The 21,654-nt window shown below is 37.2% G+C and overlaps 1 long non-coding RNA gene across 2 annotated transcripts in view; it reads left to right on the plus strand.

The window, feature by feature from the left end:
• The first annotated feature begins 3,313 nt into the window (after positions 1-3,313).
• LOC105377460 (uncharacterized) overlaps positions 3,314-21,654 on the plus strand; it is a 106,316-nt gene continuing 87,975 nt past the window's right edge. Inside the window, exons 1-5 of one of the 2 annotated variants that reach the window (XR_002959803.2) lie at positions 3,314-7,342; positions 8,207-8,308; positions 10,318-10,422; positions 15,142-15,247; positions 20,413-20,490. This is a non-coding gene — a long non-coding RNA (uncharacterized LOC105377460). Of the gene's footprint in view, positions 8,309-10,317; positions 10,423-14,160; positions 15,248-20,412; positions 20,491-21,654 lie in introns of both variants that reach the window. The other variant, XR_001741862.3, reaches the window with a different exon arrangement.

Here is a 21,654-nt window from a genome sequence, read left to right on the forward strand (position 1 = left end):
GTTCAGGCTGGGTGACAAGAAAAGTAGGAAGAAGACAGATGGTGTTTTTCAGAATAGATGGCCTCTGATCAGAAGTAGAGGCATCATATTGACATTGCCAAAAAGATGGGCTCTCAAGCTCTCTCCTACTGTAGTTTTAAAAATAAACTATTCTTGTTTTATACAAATTAGAACATGTCCTAAAAATATGTTGGGTGCTCAGGTGCTGTACTCATAATGCTCACTAGTTAGCAACCTATCTGACACTTTATACCTTAATTGAAGGCCCCAATTAAATGCTAATAGAAGTTGCCTTTGATTTTGCTGGAATTTTGTGTATTTCTTATTTTAATGGAATACTTCATATATATGTTTTACTTCAAGTAGGAGGTAGGATGGTTGTCTCCAGAGGGTAGGGTGTGGGGGAGGGAGGGAATGGGGAGCTGTTGATCAAAGGGTACAAAGTTTCACCTAAAGAGGAAGAATAGGTTTTGAGATCTATTGCACAGCAGGGTGACTATAGCCAATAATAATGTATTTATGTCTCAAAATAACTAAGAACAAATTTGAAATATCTCACCATAAAAAATAATGGGTAATCAAGGGGATGAATATATTAATTAGTTTGGTTTAATCATTCCACATTGTATTCATGTAGCAAAACATCACATTGTATCCCATAAATGTATATAATTGCAATTTGTCAATCAAAAATAATATTAATAATTTAAAATTTTTATTTCTTTGTCTCGACTTTATCCTTCTAAGTAGGAATTGTACATATGTCATAGCTAATATTATTTTTTCTTAGTCTTAAAAATACATCTACAGTTTCTCTGTTAAGTGTGATGTTTGTTATAAAGTTTTGGTAGTTAGCCTTTAACAATTTCTTTTTTCATAATTAGGCTTTTAATTTTTGTCCACTTTTTCTTGGGCCAATTCTGGTAATTTATATTGACAATTTAGTATTATATGTATAATCATGTAACATACGTTATATATGACAACTTGGACCTTCATATAAAACCAGTTATGTAACTCGTTTCAAATTCATGGTGTTCTTTTATGGATGAGGATATTTTGACTCTCACACACCCAAATACTGCTATGTATCCTAGTTGCCTGTTTCTTTTAGGACACCTCTGCTAGTGGTGTACAGAACTTCCACTCTTTTGTGTTAGAGAATTATGCACTTATTAATACATTTTGTATTTTTTTTGTTTTTATTTTTTTCTTATTTCGATAGCTTTTGGGGTACAAGTGGTTTTTGGTTACATGGATGAAATACATAGTGGTGAATTGTGAAATTTTAGTGCACTCCTCACCCGAGTTGTGTACATTGTACCCAATATGTAGTTTTTTGTCCCTCACCCCTCTTCCACCCACCCGCTTCTGAGTCTCCAAAGTCCATTATATAACTCAATTTGCCTTTGTGTACTTAATAGCTTTGCTTCCACTTATAAGTGAGAACATACAGTGTTTGGTTTTTCATTCCTGAGTTACTTCACCTAGAATAATGGCCTCCAGCTCCATCCAAGTTGCTGCAGAAGACATTATTTCATTCCTTTTATGGCTGAGTAGTATTCCATGGTGCGTATATACCACATTTTCTTTATCCACTCATTGGTTGATGGACACTTAGATTGGTTCTATATCTTTGCAATTGTGAATTGGGTTGCAATAGACATATGTGTTCATGTGTCTTTTTCATATCATGATTTCTTTTCCTTTGGGTAGATACCCAGTAGTGGGATTTCTGGATCAAATGGTTAGATCTACTTTCAGTTCTTTAAGGAATCTCCATACCGTTTTCCAACGTTGTACTAATTTACATTCCCACCAGCAGTGTATAAACATGCCACTTTCACCAGATCCAGGTCAACATCTACTGTTTTCTGACTTTTTAATTATGGCCATTCTTGCAAGGAGTAAGGTGGTATCTTTTCCTTTGGGTAGATGCCCAGTAGTAGAACTGCTGGATTGAAGGATAGATTTACTTTTAGTTTTTTAAGAAATCACCATACTGTTTTCCATAGAGGTTGTAATTCTTCTTTTCTGATTTGGATGCCCTTTATTTATTTCTCTGGCCTGATGGCTCTGGCCAGGACTTCCAGTCTTAAGTTGAATAGAAGGAGTGAAAGTGGGCATCCTGGGCTTGTTTCAGTTCTCAGGGGAAATGCTTTCAACTTTTCCCCATTTAGTATGATGTTGCCTGTGGGTTTGTCATATATGGCTTTTATTAACTTGAGGTAAGTAGCTTCTATGCCTAGTTTCTTGAGAGTTTTTATCATAAAGCGATGCTAAATTTTATCAAGTGCTTTTTCTGCATCTATTGAGATGATCATATGGTTTTGTTTTTAATTCTGGTTATGCAGTGTATCACAAATTTATTGATTTGCATATGTTAGACCCTCCGTGCATCCCTAGGGTGAAACCCGCTTGATCGTGGTGTATTATCTTTATGATGTGCTGCTGTATTTGCTTAGTAAATACTTTCTGGGGATTTTTGCATCTATGTTCATTGGGGATATTGGTCTGTAGTTTTCTTTTTTTGTTATGTCCTTTCCTGGTTTGGGGATTAGGGTGATACTGGCTTCATTCTCTTATTTCTATGTGACTGGTATGCAGAGATAAGGGTTTCACCATTTGTACAAATTTGCAGTTTTAATGTGAAATATGATTTTTAGCCATTTGATATTTTTTTCTTTCTTAATAAATTGAATGAATATACACACACCTATTTTGATGCTGTGTGCATTTAAAACCTCATGTACTTTGTCACTTTAGCTTTATATTGCAGATTCCCTTACTCTATTGTCTGGACTTACTTCTGCCCACCATTTTGCTTACTCTGTAGGCTCAAGGGGTGAATGCCAGGGATGAGGTAAAATTTTGGTCATATATATGACTGATTTTTTACAAAGATGAAATTAAAATTATTTCTTTAGGGCCATGTAATATCACCCAAATCATGTTGGTCAGAGTACAAACTTTCACTTACAAGATGAGTAAGTTCTGGGAATCTAATATGCAGCGTGATGACAATAGTTAATAATACTGTACAGATGTTCCTTGACTTACAATGGAGTTATGTTCCAACAGATTCAATGTAAGCTGAAAATATTTTAACTCAGGGGTGTCCCATCTTTTGGCTTCCCTGGGCCACGCTGGAAGGATTGTCTTGGGTCACACATAAAATACACTAGCACTATCGAAAGATGATGAGCTAAGAAAAATCACACAAAAAAATCTCATAATGTTTTAAGAAAATTTACAAATTTATGTTGGGCCTCATTCAAAGCCATACTGGGCTGCCTGTTGCCCATGGGCCATGGGTTTGACAAGCTTGTTGTAACTTAGAAATGTATTTAATACACCTAGGCTACAGAATATCATAGGTTAGCCTAGCCTACTTTAAATACGCCCAGAACACTTATATTAGTGTACTTGGGCAAAATCACCTAACACAAAGCCTATTTAGTAATAAAGTGCTGAATATCTCATGTAATTTATTGAATACTGTACTGAAAGTGAAAAACGGAATGGTTATATGAGTACTTAAAATGCAGTTTCTACTGACTGACTTTTACACCATCTTAAAATTGAAAAATTTTAAGTAGAGAACTGTCTGTATTGTATTCTTGAAATCTGCTAAAAGAGCAGGCCTTAAAAGTTCTCACTACACACCCAGGTAACTATGTGAAGTGATGGAGGTGTCGACTAACTTGATATCACTTCACAATGTTTACATATATCAAAGCATTGTAACTCAATTGCAGATTCAGTCACTCGATGCTTGCCGAGTCCAGTTTACAAGGGTGAGGTCTGATATAAAGAAAGTGACTTTTTAATCGAAAGTTTAGCTTATGGAAAGAAGTCCAGGCTCTTGCCTTTAAAGGCACTGCTTCACTTTTGGGGCAGAAAGCCAGAGCTTTTAAAGGGGAACTTGGCGTGAATGGCAGGCAGGGAAGGAGCAGTTGGGGGTCTAGGCGACTTGCTTTGTTGCCTTATCTACCCAGGGGTTGAGCTAGTGCTAGACTGTAAGGTGGCTGTGGTCTGGAGATACTCTCCAGATGGGAGAGAGTTTCCTGTGGGCAAACTTTAGGTTGTAAATTGACTCTTGTCTCTAGAGACAATCTTCTGGTGGGAGAGATTTCCAGCTCTGGGGCTTCTAGGTATGCACACAGTTAGATGAGCTTGTCCTGTAGTGTCTGGTGAAGGGAAGGTAGAGGTTCTAATTGCATTTCTAAAGAGTTAAGTGGGAAGTGGGGAACAGGGGCAGAGGAGGAAAGAGAAAAAAAGAAAAAAAATTTAAAAAATAACTCGTTCTCTTTCTCTTAGGGAAATGGCAGTTCTGGGTTACAGCATCCCATTGTACACAAAACTTGTCTAACCCACGGCCCATGAGCTGCAAGAAGCCCAGGAAGGCTTTGACTGTGGCTCAACACATTCAAAGAAAGTTTGTAAACTTTCTTTAAACATTATGAGATTATTTTGCGGTTTTTTTTTTTTAAGCTCATCAGCTGTCATTAGTGTTAGTGTATTTTATGTGTGATCCAAAACAATTCTTCCTATGTGGCCCAGGGAAGCCAAAAGATTGGACACCCTTGCTGTACACCTTAAATACAGAGTTTTGTGTTTCAATTTTCCCTCAGTTAAGCTGGGAAAAAGTTGCCATACCCAAAAATGACACATAAAATAGCTGTGTCAAATTTTTATTTTAATCTTGAATGTCTTTCTTTTACAATAAATAAACTTCTCTCACATGATTTTTTAATAGTTTCAGAGTGTTTCATTTTATGGATATTTCAGAACTCAATAAGTTCCTATTTATTTATTTATTTATTTGGACACTGTGGCAGCGTCTAATTTTTGCTAAATCTTGAGACACATTCTTAAATTTCAAAGCTGGAATTACTGAGTCTAGTGGGTCTTAAGACATATTGTTATCTGCCTCTCAAGAAGGTTTTGACTCACTTCAAATGAAGTCAAACATCTTCTCCATGTATTTAACATTCAAATATTTTGCATGTGTGATTGTTGTCTTTGCTTATTTTTTGAGTTTTCACTGAGTTACAACAATTCTTTGGTTTACTATAAAAAGAGAAAAAAATCATTATGAGCCAAATGGATTTTGAGAAATATAATCTGAGTTTTCTCTTTACAGAGGTTTTTGTTTTGTTTTTGCCTAGAGCATAGGGTTAACTGGACTAATTTACACTTTTCCATTAGCTTTATCTTATTCAGGATAATATGAGCCAGTTTTCTTAACCCTAATAGGGCATATTTCTGTTTTTTCTTAACTCGTTCTTTTTCTAGTGTATTGCTAAGTTTTCCAATTTAGTTCTTGCCTTAAAAATGACGTTGTCTAACATTATAATTGTAAAATACTGGAAAATGGTTTTGTCATTCTTGCTGCAGGCAGTCAACAACTCAAGGTGACTGACCACTAGGTTAGCTGGAAGTACATCTTGATTGGTACAGATTCCGGTTTCTAAGTGAATAAGCAGAGAACACACTGAGTGCCTGACGATGTGACATGCTATCATGTCACATGAAACTATCAGAACTTGCTAGGGTTCCAGATCCTGCACTAGAAATTCCTCCCAGATGAGGGTTTTTTTTTTTTTCCCCCTCCTGTGAGAAATAAACCAGAAGAAAGGAGAAGATGGATTTTTGCAATTTAGTTTCATGATTTTAAGGACCAAATCTCAACTTTATTTCTCTAGAATAGGAAATAGAGATATCATTGTCATCTTATGTTTTTTCTCACTTGATCTGATCTATGATCTGTTGAAACTTGATCATCTGTTCTTGCAAGTGAGGTTTGTTGCTACATTTCTGAACTTCAAAATTAGAAAAATAATATCCTGAAGCTTCTAATACTTACAGTTGAGCAGACTTTATATTCTGTTTACACTTACCATTTTACATAAATCTTTATGCCTTTTATTTAGAAGACAAGATAAAAATTAAAAGAGAAAAAATATCCCACATATACATAATACCTCTCTATGGACTATTCTTTTGTGGGATAAGGTAGGTGGGAGAATGGGAGAGTAGCAGGCCCATTAGAATACAAAACATGTAAGTAACTATTATTTTTAAATTGGGGCCACTTGTACACCAAGATATGATTGCCTTTTTAAGAGATCCATGTTCTAGAGAACTGATTTCCTTAAATAACTCATTTCTGTTTCCAAGTTTCTACTCACAAATGTACTAATGTCCTAAAGGGCATGAAGGATATATATATATATATATATATATATATATATATGTAGAACAGTGATACAGTAAATATGAACAGTAATATAGTAAATCACTGTTCTTCAAAATATATATAAACAGAGATATAGTAAATCACTGTTCTTTTATAAACTGGGACCTTATTCTATTTTTTATCCCTATAATAATATATTTTATAACTTCTGTTTAGAATATTGGCAGATAATAGAACTTGATTGCCTGATTTTCAATTTAAACACTTATCAATCAAATACATAAGTACTTGTTCAGGGTGGAGAAAAGTTAATACTTTATATTATCTATGTATCTCTGAAAGACAAGAAAGTTTCTGTACATTTACAGACTACAAATATAGAAGTTAAAGCAAATGCCTTCTAGCTGGCATAATCTTAGGAAAAAAGCAGACTAAAGTATTATAAATTGGTAGCAGAAGATGTGTAAAGACAAGACATGATCACCTAGATAATATAAATCAATTTTCTATTCTTTTGCTGAAGCCTAGACCCCACACGGCAGCCTGATGTAATTCCATTACCATGCTTAATTACTTGGCACTTGTATAGCCTTTTTATTTTTGTGTTACTGTTATTCCTGGTAAATCATTCAGAAGAAATAAATTAGCTTGCCACTCAAAATTAACTACTATGGTGCATTGCTGCCCCACCCCGCAAAAGATGAGTTGACAGCTACTGGGCGTTAATCTAGCCATTTTTTGATAACAGAGTATCTCTTTGCACATAGTTATGAGAGTTATAAACATTCCAAATGTAATTATCTCAGTCCTTTACAACTTGAAAGTCTAATTAAAGAAAGTTTAAGACACTATAAATCTTAAGGAATTAGGTTTATAATGTGGAACCCAGTCAGAGTTTGGGATTACATTGGAAAGTGAGTATATTGAAAAGGATTGCAGAAACATTTCTCTCAGCCAGAATTTAATTGCTCAGAAAACTGAATTTCAGTAGAATAGATGAAAAGTGTTAGGCAGAGAGACTCAGACCTATGACTGCTGAAGAAAGAGCTAATTCCATATCCCTTTTTCTAGATGCCCTGGAATACACTTGTGTCAGTGACAAATGCTGCTTTGCTGTGCTACACCGAGTACAAGGTCGTGGTAAGACATGACTGGGAAGCAGTTACCAGAGACAAGCAAGGATAGCGCTTTGACTGCATCCTCTGCTGGTGGCTTCTGTAGTTATGCATAAAATTTACTCTGATCTGTTTACTTTTATAGCCTGTCTTTACTTTGTTTCTTTTAATATTATGCATGTTTAGGCTATGCTTTTTCTTTAAATATGTGAGCAAATCTATTGGTGTAATGTACTCATTACCCTAAAACCTATATTTTAATGGACCTGAAGACCATAAGGTAGAAGATCAGAAGAAAAAGAAAATGCATACATTTTTATCTTTAAAACAATTCACTTTTAAGATTATTTTCTTGAAAGGTATACCTTTGATGGAGCCGAATCTGGTTCCTTCAGGCAGATACAATAGGATACAATAGGATAGGACTTCTTGGGTAAAAAAGGTGTAGTAATCTGTGAGTCTCACCGGAAGGAGAAAGGAAATTATTCATTAATTTGGCTGAGGCCAGGGTAGTAAGCAGATTTATTATAAATATTGGCAGCAGAGGAGTACTTGAAAAGTGCTTATAAAGTTAGATCATCTATTTTTCCAAGCAATATTCTTCATGTCATTCCACCTTGCAAAAACTTTGTGGAAAGGAATAGGCATATGAATGAGCAATGAATAGACTTTGCATTAGATTGGTAATCTTGCTACTAGTACATTAATTTACTTGTATTACTGATATTTTAAGATAGGATTTTTACAGATGTTTATATATTTTTAAAAAGCCTATTTTTTTCTTTACCCATTTTCTCAATTTTTTTAACCTCGAAAACTTTTTCCTCCCTGAGAGAAATACATGGGCTATCTTCAGCACAGAACACAAACTCTGCCTTCTTTTCTCAAGTCCAGTGATTCAAGTTTGACACACCACACCACGGTGGATGTGCCTTTCATGACGCATCTTCTCAGCAGCACTAGAAGATACATCCAAAGTCCTGTGAGCAAGGTAAGCCTTGTAGCAACCCTTTGATGTCTTTGAAAAATGCAAAAATGCTCACCGATCAGGAGCAAAGGGGCCAAAGTTGAGGTATTTCCCCCTCACATGTAGTTTTTATTTTTTTAGCCTATTTTTTGTTTTTCTCTAAATCAAACTCAGACTTACTCTGTTTACACTGAAATACACTGCACAGTGCCGTAGGTGTAATCAGATACAGATCTCAACAATGTGTATGATTCCATACCCAGTATAAATAAGGGTTTAATATCAACTCCATCTCTGAGTGAAAATAAATACCTCTGAAAAGTCAATTCTTCCTATTTTCTTTTACATTTGGCCTTCTAACAGCTGTTTTGTGTCATTTCCTTTGAGAGCTCTGATACCAAGTTGGAATAGTCCATTATATCCTAGCTCTCAGTCTTTACTGAAAGTTACATGAAAGAGGAGGCCTTTGCCTGCAATTCAGAATTCTAAATTACCAGCCTTTCTTAATTTCAGGTTGTCCCTCCTGGACATGTTGTAAACTCACGCATGGGCTTTTGAGTTAGAAAAATTTGTGTTTGGAACTTTTTCTCAGCTCTTGGCTTTTGACCTGGCCGGGTTAATTTTAAAGCCACATCTTATTTTATTTTATTTTATTTTATTTTATTTTATTTTATTTTATTTTATTATTTGTCATCTTAAGAATGGGGATAATGAAAGTGCCAGCCTCACTGAGTTATGTTATTTGAATGATATAGCCTAAGTGGTGAACCTAGCTTAGGGTCTGTTACCTGGGATGATGCTCAGTGGAAAGCCAAAATTTTTTGTGATGTTTTTGTTTATATGCTGATAGCATATAAAGGAGTGTCTCAAGTCCCATCACAGCTTTCAAAGCTCCTCTTCCTTTTGTCTGAGCAATCAGTGAGAAAAATGTGACCGTCAATGAACTTTAGTACTGAGATGTGCTTAGGAGGTATGGTCGTTGTTAGGTTTGATAATTATCAAAGAGAGTGATTCACGTCTTAGAACCCTGACCTGCAGCTCTAATGCCCCAAAAGACTAACCATTACCCATAGACACTGCCACTGCCCTCTAGTTTGCTTGTCTAATTATATGTTAACTATAATTAACACTTTAAATGTGAGAATTCCTACCTAAGAAAGTATATTACCTGGTGCAGAGCCTGGCAGAGAGGAAGTGTGCATTCAATATATGCTCATGGTTTATTGAGTAAATCCAGATCTTTCCTTGCTACTGGGTTAGAACTCTGGGAGCATACATTTACGGACTTAGCGAATCTGGAAACAGCTGGATATCCTTTGGGGTGATCTGGAATAGTTTCTCATTCTTCATTTCTACTAACATTTATTAAGCTTATGTGTAAGCTCTAGAGTTGGCACTCATAACTTCATTTAATCCTCACACTAGTCCTTTGAGGAACATATTATTCCTATTTTTCAGATAAGAAATTTGAGACTTAAGCAATAAAGTGCCTCACTCATAGCAATATTACTAGTAGCAGCTAAGTTGACTATACTGTGTGAACCTGTGTCACACCTTAGTTGCTATCTGGATAGTAGCATGCCTTGCCTAGCATGGATTTGGGGTACTAAACTCTGTACATTCGGTTGTCCCCAAGATCCTTCCCTGAGAGCATATTATTTAGACCTATTCTTATTTTTAGGCTTGGGCCTTGTTGTGGACTAAGTGTCTGTGGTTCCCCCCGCAGAATGTGTATATTGAAGCCCTAACCCATGATGTGGCTGTATTTGGAGATGCAGCCTCTAAGGAAGTAATTGAAGTTGAATGAGGTGATAAGTGTAGAGCCCTCATCCAACAGGATAATGTCATTATAAGAAGAACACCAGAGAGCTCACCCCCTCTCTTTCTACCATGCAAGGACACAGCGAGAAGATGGCTGTCTACAAGCCAGGAAAAGAGTCCTCACCAGAACCAAACCCTGCTGGACTTTGGTCTTGGACTTCCCAGCCTCTAAAACTGTGAAGACATAAATTTCTGTTGTTTAACCCACACAGGTCTGTGGTATCTGTTTATTATGGCAGCCCAGTGAGACTAAGACAGGCCATCAAAAGACGTGAACGTTTTGGACCTTCTCTTGGGCCCTAGTAAACAGAAATCAGGTATGCAAAAGGAGTAAATATATATTTTCCTTTATTTTTATTTTTAATGTGTAAGCCTTGGGTTTTTATTTATTTACTTGCTGAGAACAATCACACTGTATGTACAATATAATTATATTGTTGATGAGAACTTACTTAAAATTTTTTAAAAATTCTAATTGATTTCTAGATGTTCAAATGACAAGATAGCATTTATATACCATCAGAACATAAAATAATTCAAAAAGATAAATTTATAAAACAATATGTATTATATTGAGAGAGAGAGTGTTGGAAGAATATATATAAATACAATGTGATAATGTGATGTCTTTGTGAGAATGCTATATGTAATTTTCTTTGTTTTTGTTTATATGAATTTTTAATATTTTTACCTTTGAAATATATAAAAGAGAATAAAGTCATTGACAAAATCAAAATTCACTCTATTTTCATAGGTGAGTAAGTATACATCTTTAACAGAATAGTAAAGAGTTGATGAATGTTCAGAGATATTATATAAGTAACAGGTAAGAAGTGTCCTGATCTATGGTATTCATTCTCAGTTGCACATATATATGCAAAAAAACCCCACAAATGAAACCAAAACAACTCAGAATTCTCATGAATGTTGCATAAGTAAATATATTATTTGGAATAAATTTAAATAAGCTACATACAAGATGTCTTTTAGTTGGGTTGCTGAGGGGCCCCCATTTTGCTTTTCTGATCGGTATTGTAGAAGAGCTTTAGTTTTGTGGAGTCCCTCTCCAGGGAATTATTAGGGTGATGTACTGAGATATAGAACAGTGGATTTGGAGTCAGTAGACCTGGATGGAACTCATCTACCAGGTGTGTCACTGAAAAAGTCATTTAAGCTCTCAGAGCTTTAGTCTCCTCATTAGTGAAACTAGCATAACAATTCTGTGTCCTTTACATGGTTTCATCAGCATCAAACTAAATGAAATAATAAGTGCAAAGCTTTGTGACCCAGAGCACTCTATGCTAATGCTAGCCATCATTATTCTGAAGATGACTATTATAATCGAAGTTATATAAATTAAAGAAATGTGACAGAAGTTGTTCCCCTGAAAATGTTAACTCTTGATGCTGTAGTCCTAATTATGCTAGTGCAAATCCCTTTAAATATTCTTAATTTCTGGTCTGATCTTAATTAATGGATACCAATGTAGGTACTTTGTATTTTTGGCAGACAGTAAAACCTGGAGTTCAGGAACAGCAATGTAAACAGGCTCTAAGTTTGCAAGTTCCAACTTTCATTTATTTGATATTTGTCATGAAAATCTATATAGTGCTTTCAGTGTTCCAAGGCCTGTGGTTACAGCAGCAAGTAAAACAAAATTCCTACCCCACTGGAGCTTACAATCTAATGGGAGGAGGGAGAGGGCCAATAATACAGTAGAAAATGAATATATGATAGGTCCGTAATGAATATGTGATATGTGAATATGTGATACAGCAATAAATGTAGTAAGTGCTATGGAGAAAAAACAAAGCAGAATAAAGGAAAAGTTCTGTAGGTCAGATGTGCAGGCAGCAGAATCTGAGATGGAGACTGAAGTGCAGGAAGTTCATTCAAAGTCTTCTGAGGAAGGAAGCAGGGTTGGGTAGAGAGAGAAGATGGGCTCCGAAGCAGGCACAGTTGGGCCTCTGCCGACTCCATGGGGAACTGGAAAGCAGGGATGGGCCTTCTGATTGCCTTGTCTTGGGGTATGGAGGCCAGGCCTTTATATTCCTGCAATGGCCAGAAATTGGATGCAAGTTGTCCCCTGGGAAGGGGAATGTGACCTTGGTGACATGACTTCCTCTGCTGAGGGCAATTCCCAGAGAGGGCTGACAGTAGTGAGCTTCCAGCCAGTAGCACTGTGTTCATTACAGGGGTGTGTGTGTGTGTGTGTGTGTGTGTGTGTGTGTGTGTCTGGGAGGCAGGAGGTGAGATTGCTTTTTTAAAGGATAATCAAGGGAGCGTCTCTGAAAACATTTTGGGAGTAAATGTGAAGGACATGAGGGAGGAACCTCATGAAATCTGGGGGATAGCAAGTAGATATCTGGGGAAAATATTTCTGAGGAAGATAATTTTGAACTTCTTTGGATTTTTCATATGGATTGTCTATATGAGTAATGTCTATGCTCATCTATTGCTTTTCCAGTCGTGCTTATCATGGTAGTAGTAATAATAGTAATAACAACAATAAAGTCATTTTTACCATGTCATTGCAAGCTTTGCTTTAGGAACTGATGTAAATCTTTCATAAGATCTTACTAGAGTATTAATTAGCTAATTAGTTAATTTACTTATTCATTCAGTCACACAGTGAGTGTTTATAAATGCCCACTGTATGTCAGTTACTATGCGAGGTGCAATGAACACCAGGTGAGCAGGACGAGTTAGTCCCTGTGTTCGAAACTGTTAAGGTGGGGAGACTGACAAATGAAACAGGCAATTAAAAATGCAGTGTAAACAGTGGTCCAGTGTAGTTAAACGAGGTAAGGAAGGTGCAGCAGGGAAACAATAAGCCAAACAAAGAAGAAACCAGGTGTATGAATAAATAGGGAATGGCGAAGCTTTCTTTGAATTGGGGTGGGATGGGGTGTATGGAACAGAGGTGGGCAAAGTAGGTGAGATAAGTGGCTTTGGAAATGAAACCAAGTTTTGTTTAGTGACCTCTTACATTGTCAGATGGGGTTAAATCCATAAGGGTCTATAAACATTGGCCTGCTATGTAGAAAACACATGTTTCAATGGCAACTCAGTTGTGGGAGAGGTTTTCATTGCTAACGATGGGCTCCTAGCATGAAGAGATTCAGGTAAAGCCTGCCTCGAGGAGTGGGCTGGTATCTCTGATCAGAGCTGGCTGCAAGCTTGAGTAGTGACAATGGTGAGATCTCCAAAAGTGCCAACTCCTACCACCCAACACCCAGGAGAGAATAACTTCTTACTGCCCCCTCACAGATCCTGAGCTGAGCTAAACAACCTCTTCAGTTCTCGCAATCCGTCTCTCTCCCCTTCTACTGCCCCATTCATGCTGCAAAGATGTCACAGGACTGTCTACTTAAAGATTACCTCTCTAAAGCAGAGTTGACTCTATGTATTCTGTAAAGGCAATTCTTTTTTTTTTTTTTCAACACTGACCCAAGAACACTTGGATATAAACAGTAATATCAGCATGGTCAGAAGGTGGAAATTCCACTGGCTTTCTTGTTTCATTTAACATTCTTTGACTTGGGGGTGATACTAAAAATATAAAAATATTATAGAACATTTTCAAAGTCAACTTGCTTTACAAGTCCCTTCAAAATATTGTTTGTCCTCTATGTTCATAGCAATTTTAAAGTGTTCGTATGTAAAATATTGTGTCTACATGTACAGCTTTGTTTTTTAATAGTCACTTCTAGAACAGGCTGAAAGTCAGTCAGGAAAATTAAGTAAGACCGATTTGTGGTTTATCCATATTCTTATGTAAACCTGAGATTCTCACATTTGTCACTAATGACAGTCATAAAATAATTAAAGACAAATGAGTTAGTATTTTATCATCTAAAATTTCCCCCTTTTTCCTGAACCTTCTTACATTTCTAGAAAATAGTTAAAAGGAAGTCTGACTGAGACCTCAGGACTTACTGCTCCAAGTAAAAAGTAGGCTGAAAGGAAAGTTAAGTCATTGAAAATGGTATCTACATTTACTTTCCCTTTTCTTTGTACTGTTTGCTCTTCACTTTAAATTCTTTTGATTCCAGAAGGAAGAAAACTTTGCTAATGCTCTGCCAAGCCTCACTTTTCTGTCATGATTGGAAGGTTTGATGTTATCCAGAATTTCTCATGGAAGATGGAAGAGCTGCAGCATTACAATGAAAGCCATCTTGCAACAGCCTGAGTTCCTTTTTCTTTTACCTGAGTCAGGAACAAAAAAATATTCATGTATATTCCCCAAAAGGACAAAAAAGGATCCAATGAAAGGGCTAGGTTGTAGAAAGGTCAGAGCATTTTAGTGCTAAATGACAACTAAAATCACTCTCTCTGCACACCTTACATTGTAAAAGAGAAAGTTAAGACCCAGAAAAAGATCAAGAGTTTTTCATTGGTCGTTACGATATTAAAGAAGTTTTGAAATATATGGCTAGCTTTCTCACATCTATGAGCTGATTAGACCTCAGCCAAAGACTTCACGGGAGCCCTCTGCAAGTTTCTAGAGTTCTTTGTGCAGCTTTTCCTCTTGGGTTCTCTGACTTGCAAACTCAAACCGCCAGGCTTTTCTTAGACTCAGCTCTGCCTCCTCATCTCAGAGAGACCCTACAGTGGGGCCTGGGAACCCTCCAGGCTCTGAGCTGGACAATGGAGCTCACCTCCATTTTGTTTGATTCCTCTCTCTCGGCAATCACTCTTCTGTGCTACTGATGTCCGGTGTCTGAAATTCATTTTTTTCATATCTTTTGTTGTTTGCTTGGTGTCATTTCCTGCAGGAGGGTAAATCTGGCTCCTGTTGTTCCATCTGTCCTCCAGCAGCTTCCCATACAGGCAGCTCACTTCACTTCATTTTCAATTTTAATGACTTCTGTTCTTTATTACGCCTTTTGTCTACTTTTTTTTTTGTTTTGGTTATTCTTCTTGTTCTTTTTCTAACTTCTTGAGTTCATATTAAGTTAGTTAGCTTTTAGTCCTTCTAAGTCAATTACTGAATGTTTTGAAGTTTTCACTTTGTGTTACTTTATATTTTTTAGGCTACTTATTAAACTAAACCACGTTCTGAACTGTTACTGCTACTGGAAACCAGTCCCGATCCAGACCCCAAAAGAGGATTCTTGGATCTTGCACAAGAAAGAAAGGGTAAGTCCATAAAGTAAAGTGAAAGCATGTTTATTAAGAAAGTAAAGGATAAAGAATGGCTACTTCATAGGCAGGGAAGCCCCGAGGGCTACTGGTTGCCCATTTTTATGGTTATTTCTTGATTATATTGGTACAAAGAGGAGGCAAGGAAATATTGGGTAGAAGGGGGCAGTTCCCTGGCAAAGACACCACCCTCAAGCTTGGAAATCCATGGCCCTAAATTTGAGCAGGCATTCCTGTTTTCACACCTTAATGTTGCCTTTTGGCCTGCCACACCCCCCAGTCCTATACCCAAATAAACCCTAAACCTCAGCCTCCAAGAGCAGAAGATCAGAGGAGCAGAAGATCAGAGGAGCAGAAGAGTGGTGCAGCAGAGAAGGAGAGAAGAGAAGGAATGTCTAAATGTCAAGAGGAGTTCAGCTGGGGATAGTCAGAGAGAAGATAGGCCATGGGACGGCCAAACTCTAGGAGAAGATCATCTTTCCACTCCATCCCCTTTCCAACTCTCCATCCATCCCACTGACAGCCACCTCCACCACTCAGTAAAACCCCCGCATTCACCATCTTTCAAGTCTGTGTGTGACCTGATTCTTCCTGGACACCGGATAAGGACCCGGATACCAAGAGGTCACTGAGCTGATTAACACTTAAGCCATCTGTGAACAGCAGAGCTAAGAGGCACTGTAACATGCGCATTGGGGCTTTGGGAGTTGCAGGCACTCACCCTTAGATCCTACCACGGGTCTGGAGCCCAAAAGCACTTTCTCCAGCTCTTGCACCTGCCTATCTGCATGCTCTCCCTCCCGTAAGGTGTTTGAGCTCCTGGTGGCCAAACAGAGAAACCACACCTCTGTTGCATGTCCTGCAAGTTGGGGGTCAGGGAACTCCCCTGTTTCAACATGTTAAACAAGGGGTGGATTATTAATGCCTCCCCTTTTTAGACCATAAAGGGTAACTTCTGGACGTTGCCATGGCATTTGTAAACTGTCATGGTGCTGTTGGGAGTGTAGCAGTTAGGACAACCAGAGGTCAGATCACCATCTTGGTTTTGGTGGGTTTTGGCCAGCTTCTTTACTGCAACTTGTTTTATCAGCAAGGTCTTTATAACCTGTATCTTGTGCCAACCTCCCATCTCATCTTGTGACTTAGAATGCCTAACTGCCTGGGAATGCAGCCCAGCAGGTCTCAGCCTTATTTTACCCGGCCCCTATCCAAGATGGAGGCACTCTGGTTCAAATGCCTCTGACATTACTTCCAAGATGATTCCTTTTTGTCATTACGTAGTGGCCCCTTTATCTTTGAAAATGCTTTATCTATCATCTATTTTATTTGATATTAATATAGCAACATGAAATTTCTGTATTTTTACCTATTTATTGACATGTAATACCCATACAATAAAGAGCATGTAAGGCACTGATCTTAAGAATAGAGTTTGATGATTTTTTTCTAATGTATACAGCCATGTACCCACCACCCAGATCGAGATAGAGAATATTGCCAGCATCAAAGGAAGTCACTAGCTTTATTTCAGTTGGTATTTTCCTCAGACATCTTTTTTTTCCATCCATTACTTTCAACTTATCTATTTATGTTTTAAAGATTTTACTTTCAAACAGTACGTGACTTTTAGTAAAGTTACAGTACATTGATTGATTGATTGTTACCTTAAAACCCAAGCCACTAAGTATCAACAACATCCTCTGTTCCTATTTTCCCCTCAAATAAAAGTAGACTTACCATATTTGTTTAGAATTTCTGTGTCTGCCAAGGGAGTCTTTAATTGCTAAAACTAAAAGACTCTATCTATATTTGCTTTTAGTGCTTTCCTGTTTTTATTTTAGTAAATTAACCTTAATTATGTGAAAAATTTTATGTTGTAAAGAATGAGTAGTAGAGATCCATTTATTTTTTCTTCAGTATCTGACAAGTTTTCTGAATACAGTGAAAATCTATCTTTTTATATTGATTTGAAAGCTGCTTTCTTCGTGACACTAAATTATTACATGTATTTGAATTTACAAATGAATTGTTATATTTCACTTATCTGAATATATATTTCTTTACCCAGAATGTTCTTTTAATTAATGCTTAATATAACTCTATATTATAATTCCTGGCTGAAGAAGTTCCCACTCATTGTTCTTCATTTTCATAATTTTTCTGACTATTAACACATTTATTCTTCTAGATGGAGGCTGTTCTACCTTGGCACTATTGATATTGTGGACTGGATAAATAAACATCAGTAGTGGGATCCTTCTAATTTCCTCTACTTTCTTTTTGTAGCTCTGTTTGGTGCCCTCAGGTGGGAATGCTATGTCAACTCTCCAGTACCTTCTTTCTTTTTGGCCCAAAGCAGATATTCTGCAGAGTTTCTTGTATGAGGTTGGGTTGTTTCTTAAATTTCAGAGTAGATTATTGTTTATTCTATACTTTTCTTCATTCAAGCAGATTTCAAATAGATGGAATTTTTAAATATTTTCTCAAGCCTCCATCTTCTCATTTTAACTTTCTTAAAGAAATATTTAAATTACCATTTTCACTTATCTGTTTTTTAATTGCTCTGCTATTGTTTGGTATTTACAAGTGATTTATTATTTTATCCTTTTTATTAGGTAAGAGATGTTAATGGTGAGTTTGAGATTGATAGGAGCTATTTTATTAGAAATAAATGAGGAACTGTTGCAAGAATGGACTGTGATTTTTACCTTTTATTCAATTGTTTTGGCTTCTTACAGGCTCATGACACTTTCCTTAGTGTTTAACACAAACAACTAAAGTAAAATAACTGCCATTTCTCTCCTTGCAGTTAAACTGCAAACAACTCTTTTTATAAGAACTGTGATTGCCTCTAGCAAGCAGTCTCAAGTACTTGATATATCAACACACTATTGCCCCTTTTTTTCACACCTGAAGTTTGTAGAATAAACCACTAAAAATTTCATAGTATCTGAGGAGAATGGATCTCTCCAGATGATGTTTTCTTGCCTGGGGCCAATATGTGCACCATAGAGTCCCCTCTATCTGCCATAAAACTTTGTTTATGAAGCATTGCTTTAATCAATCTTCACATGGTAGGACGATACAGGCAAAAGCTGAGGTCTTGCTATACATCTCTTTCAAAGTTTTCCTTCAAGACCATTTTGCTTTTAGTCACTTTTTTTTAATATTTTTGGCAGCAGTTATTTATTTCATTTCATTCTATTTGACCCATCCAAATGTTTAACATGGTTTTATAAAAGTAACTTTATTTTCAGCTTGTCTGTAGGTTCAGTTTTCTTGTAGTTGCTAGTATAAGTAATAGGGAAAAATGTATCAGTCTTATACAATAAAGACGTTCAGATGAGTGTGTGTGGGAGTGTGTGATATAGGAAGAAGCAATCGGTATGTAACAACATATGTCTGCCTGCTACGCTTTTAATACTTGTTAGAGTTTTAGTTTCTATGAGTATCTTGGAGGTACTGGAATATATATGCAAATTTCCTTCTAAAAGATTGCACCAACTTACATTGCCATAACAACAATAAGAATTTACTGCAACCTTAGCACGTTGGATATTATATAAGAAATACCACTTAGTAGGTTTCATAGATAATGGATAAATTTTCTGTTGTTTTAATTTACATTTTGAAAGTAGTGAAGTTGAAAGTGACGCTATTTGAAATGCATGTGCATAAGAAGTTGAATAGAAGTTTATTAGTCAGAAGGTGGAATGAGTTTTGAACAAGTTAATTGTTTTGAAAAACAGTATGAATGTACTGAATACTTTTGAGGTGTGATCTTCTAATTGCTCTAGCAAATTGTATTGGTCATAAGAAAATGTTTGAATTTTTCCAGTCAGTCAGTCATTGTATTAGTTCATTCCCATGCTGCTATAAAGAAGTGCCTGAGACTGGGTAATTTATAAAGGAAAGAAGTTTAATTGACTCACAATTCTGCGTGGCTGAGAAGGTTTCAGGAAACTTACAATCGTGGCAGAAGGGGAAGCAAACACATCCTTTTTCACATGATGACAGAAGTAAATGGGGAAGAGCCTTATAAAACCATCAGATCTCATGAGAATTTGCTCACTATCATGAAAATAGCATGGGGGAAACAGCCACAATGATTCAATTACCTCCCACTACATTCCTCCCACAACACGTGGGGATTGTGGGAACTACAATTCAAGATGAGATTTGGGTGGGGACACAGCCAAACCACATCACTATGCCCCTGACCCCTCGCAAATCTCATGTCCTCACATTTCAAAACACAATCATGCCTTCCAAACGGTCCCCCAAAGTCTTAACTCATTCTAGCATTAACTCAAAAGCCCAAGTCCAAAGTCTCATCTGAGACAAGGCAAGTACCTTCCACCTATGAGCCTGTAAAATCAAAAGCAAGTTAATTACTTCCTAGATACAATGAGGGTATAGGCAATGGGTAAATGCACCCATTCTAAATAGGATAAATTGGCCAAAAACAGGAGCTACAGGCCCATGCAAGTCTGAAATCCAGTGGGGCAGTAATTAAATCTTAAAGCACCTTAATAATCTCTTTTAACTCCATGTCTCACATCCATGTAATGCTGATGCAAGAGGTGGGTTCCCACAGTCTTGGGAAGCTCTGCTCCTGTGGCTTTGCATGGTACAACCCCCCTCTCGGCTGCTTTCACGGGCTGTTATCCAATTCCAAAGTCACTTCTGCATTTTTAGGTATCCTTATAGCAGCACCCCACCTCTAGTACCAACTTACTGTATTAGTCTGTCTCATGCTGCTATAAAAAACTTCCCAAGACTGTGTAATTTATAAAGAGGTTTAATTGATCTACAGTTTTGCATGGCTGGGAAGGTCTCAGGATACTTACAATCATGACCAAAGGGGAAACAAACACATCTTTCTTACATAGTGGCAGGAAGGAGAAGAATGAGAGCTGAGTGAAGGGGGAAGCTCCTTTATAAAACTATCAGATTATGTGAGAATTTATTCACTCTCATGAGAATAGCATAGGGGAAACCACCGCAATGATTCAAGTACCTCCCACTGGGTTCCTCCCATGACACGTGGGGATTATTGGAACTACAATTCAAGATGAGATTTGAGTGGGAACACAGCCAAACCATATCAGTCATTCCACATATTGAGTGATTTCTCTCTTCTATTCACTATTCTTCCACAGAGAGGGACCTGTAGTCATTACCTTCAAGGAACCTAAATCCTGGTGTCTTTATGGTTATGGGTGGCATATAATATACAGGTAAGCCAATGTTACAGGATGTTGTGAGACTATTCCTGTTCTTCCATAATTAGCCACTAGGACCACGGCTGAAACCAAGAGGCACTGATTACCGCCTCACTCTAAAGAGAATTACTGAGTTTGTGCTCACTGCTGGGGCCAGATCTCTTTGCAGGGCTATGTTTGGCTTTACACAATGTGACCCTCTAGTCTGTACAAGGAGAGGAATGCAGAGGGAAAGAGATTCACTGGAGTCTCTCGTCAGTGACCTGGTGGTGAATATATGGTAATGGGTAAATCCCACTTCACCTGATGAAGAAAAGGAGAAGGATGCACTTCATTCTTAGAATCTAAGCAGGAACAGGAAAGGGAAAATCTAGGAGAAAAGCTTACAAAGACTAAATGTCTTCAAGAAGGTGAGAGAAACTAATATTTGGTTTACTGTCAGCAGGCTGTTTGGGCGGCATTTTGCCAATATTAGCCCTATCCCTACGTGAGTAGGGGAAAGGGAATTGTGGTTGGACAACCGAGTTCTGAGAAAGGCAGTGATTGAGCAGCTGAACTCCATCCATTTGGTGGGTAAGGACCCCAGAGTATTCAAAGGATCAAATGGAATGTGACTGAAGAGTTATCTTGCCGATCTTACCCAGGAAGACTGTCCCCTAGGCAAGGGGACACCAAACACAAAGAGGCATGGGATAAGGATTTCAAGATGAGAGTTGGGCAGAACTGGAGTTTAATCCCCATGTCATGGTAAGGCCCTCTGAAATTCTCTCTATGCCTTTGAGAGACTCACCATTTAGATTCTGACTCCTAGAGTCCCTTAGTGGCCAGTCAACGTAAGTCAAGTTAGTAGCTACAGCCGTCAGGCACACGATTACACCGTGAACAGTGAAGTAAAAAAATGTCCTTTCTTTGCTTTCTTCCTCTAATCACCATCCCAGAGGCATGAAAACCTAGAAAAAAGAAAGTAGCTGTATAGCTTTCATTTATGTGTAAGATTGGTGTTTTGAAATTTTAATAACAAAAAAGACTAGAAAGTTGCCTATCTCCCCAGAATGTTTCTAGTGAATAGGAATAAGAAATAGGAAAAGTATATTCCATACAGTATAAGCAAATTTAAAAAATTGATTTTTTACCCTACTGAATTGAGACTTGCCAATAACCAGTTATACAAATAAAGAG

Source organism: Homo sapiens, chromosome 4, assembly GCF_000001405.40.
Source record: "Homo sapiens chromosome 4, GRCh38.p14 Primary Assembly".
NCBI lineage: Eukaryota > Metazoa > Chordata > Mammalia > Primates > Hominidae > Homo > Homo sapiens.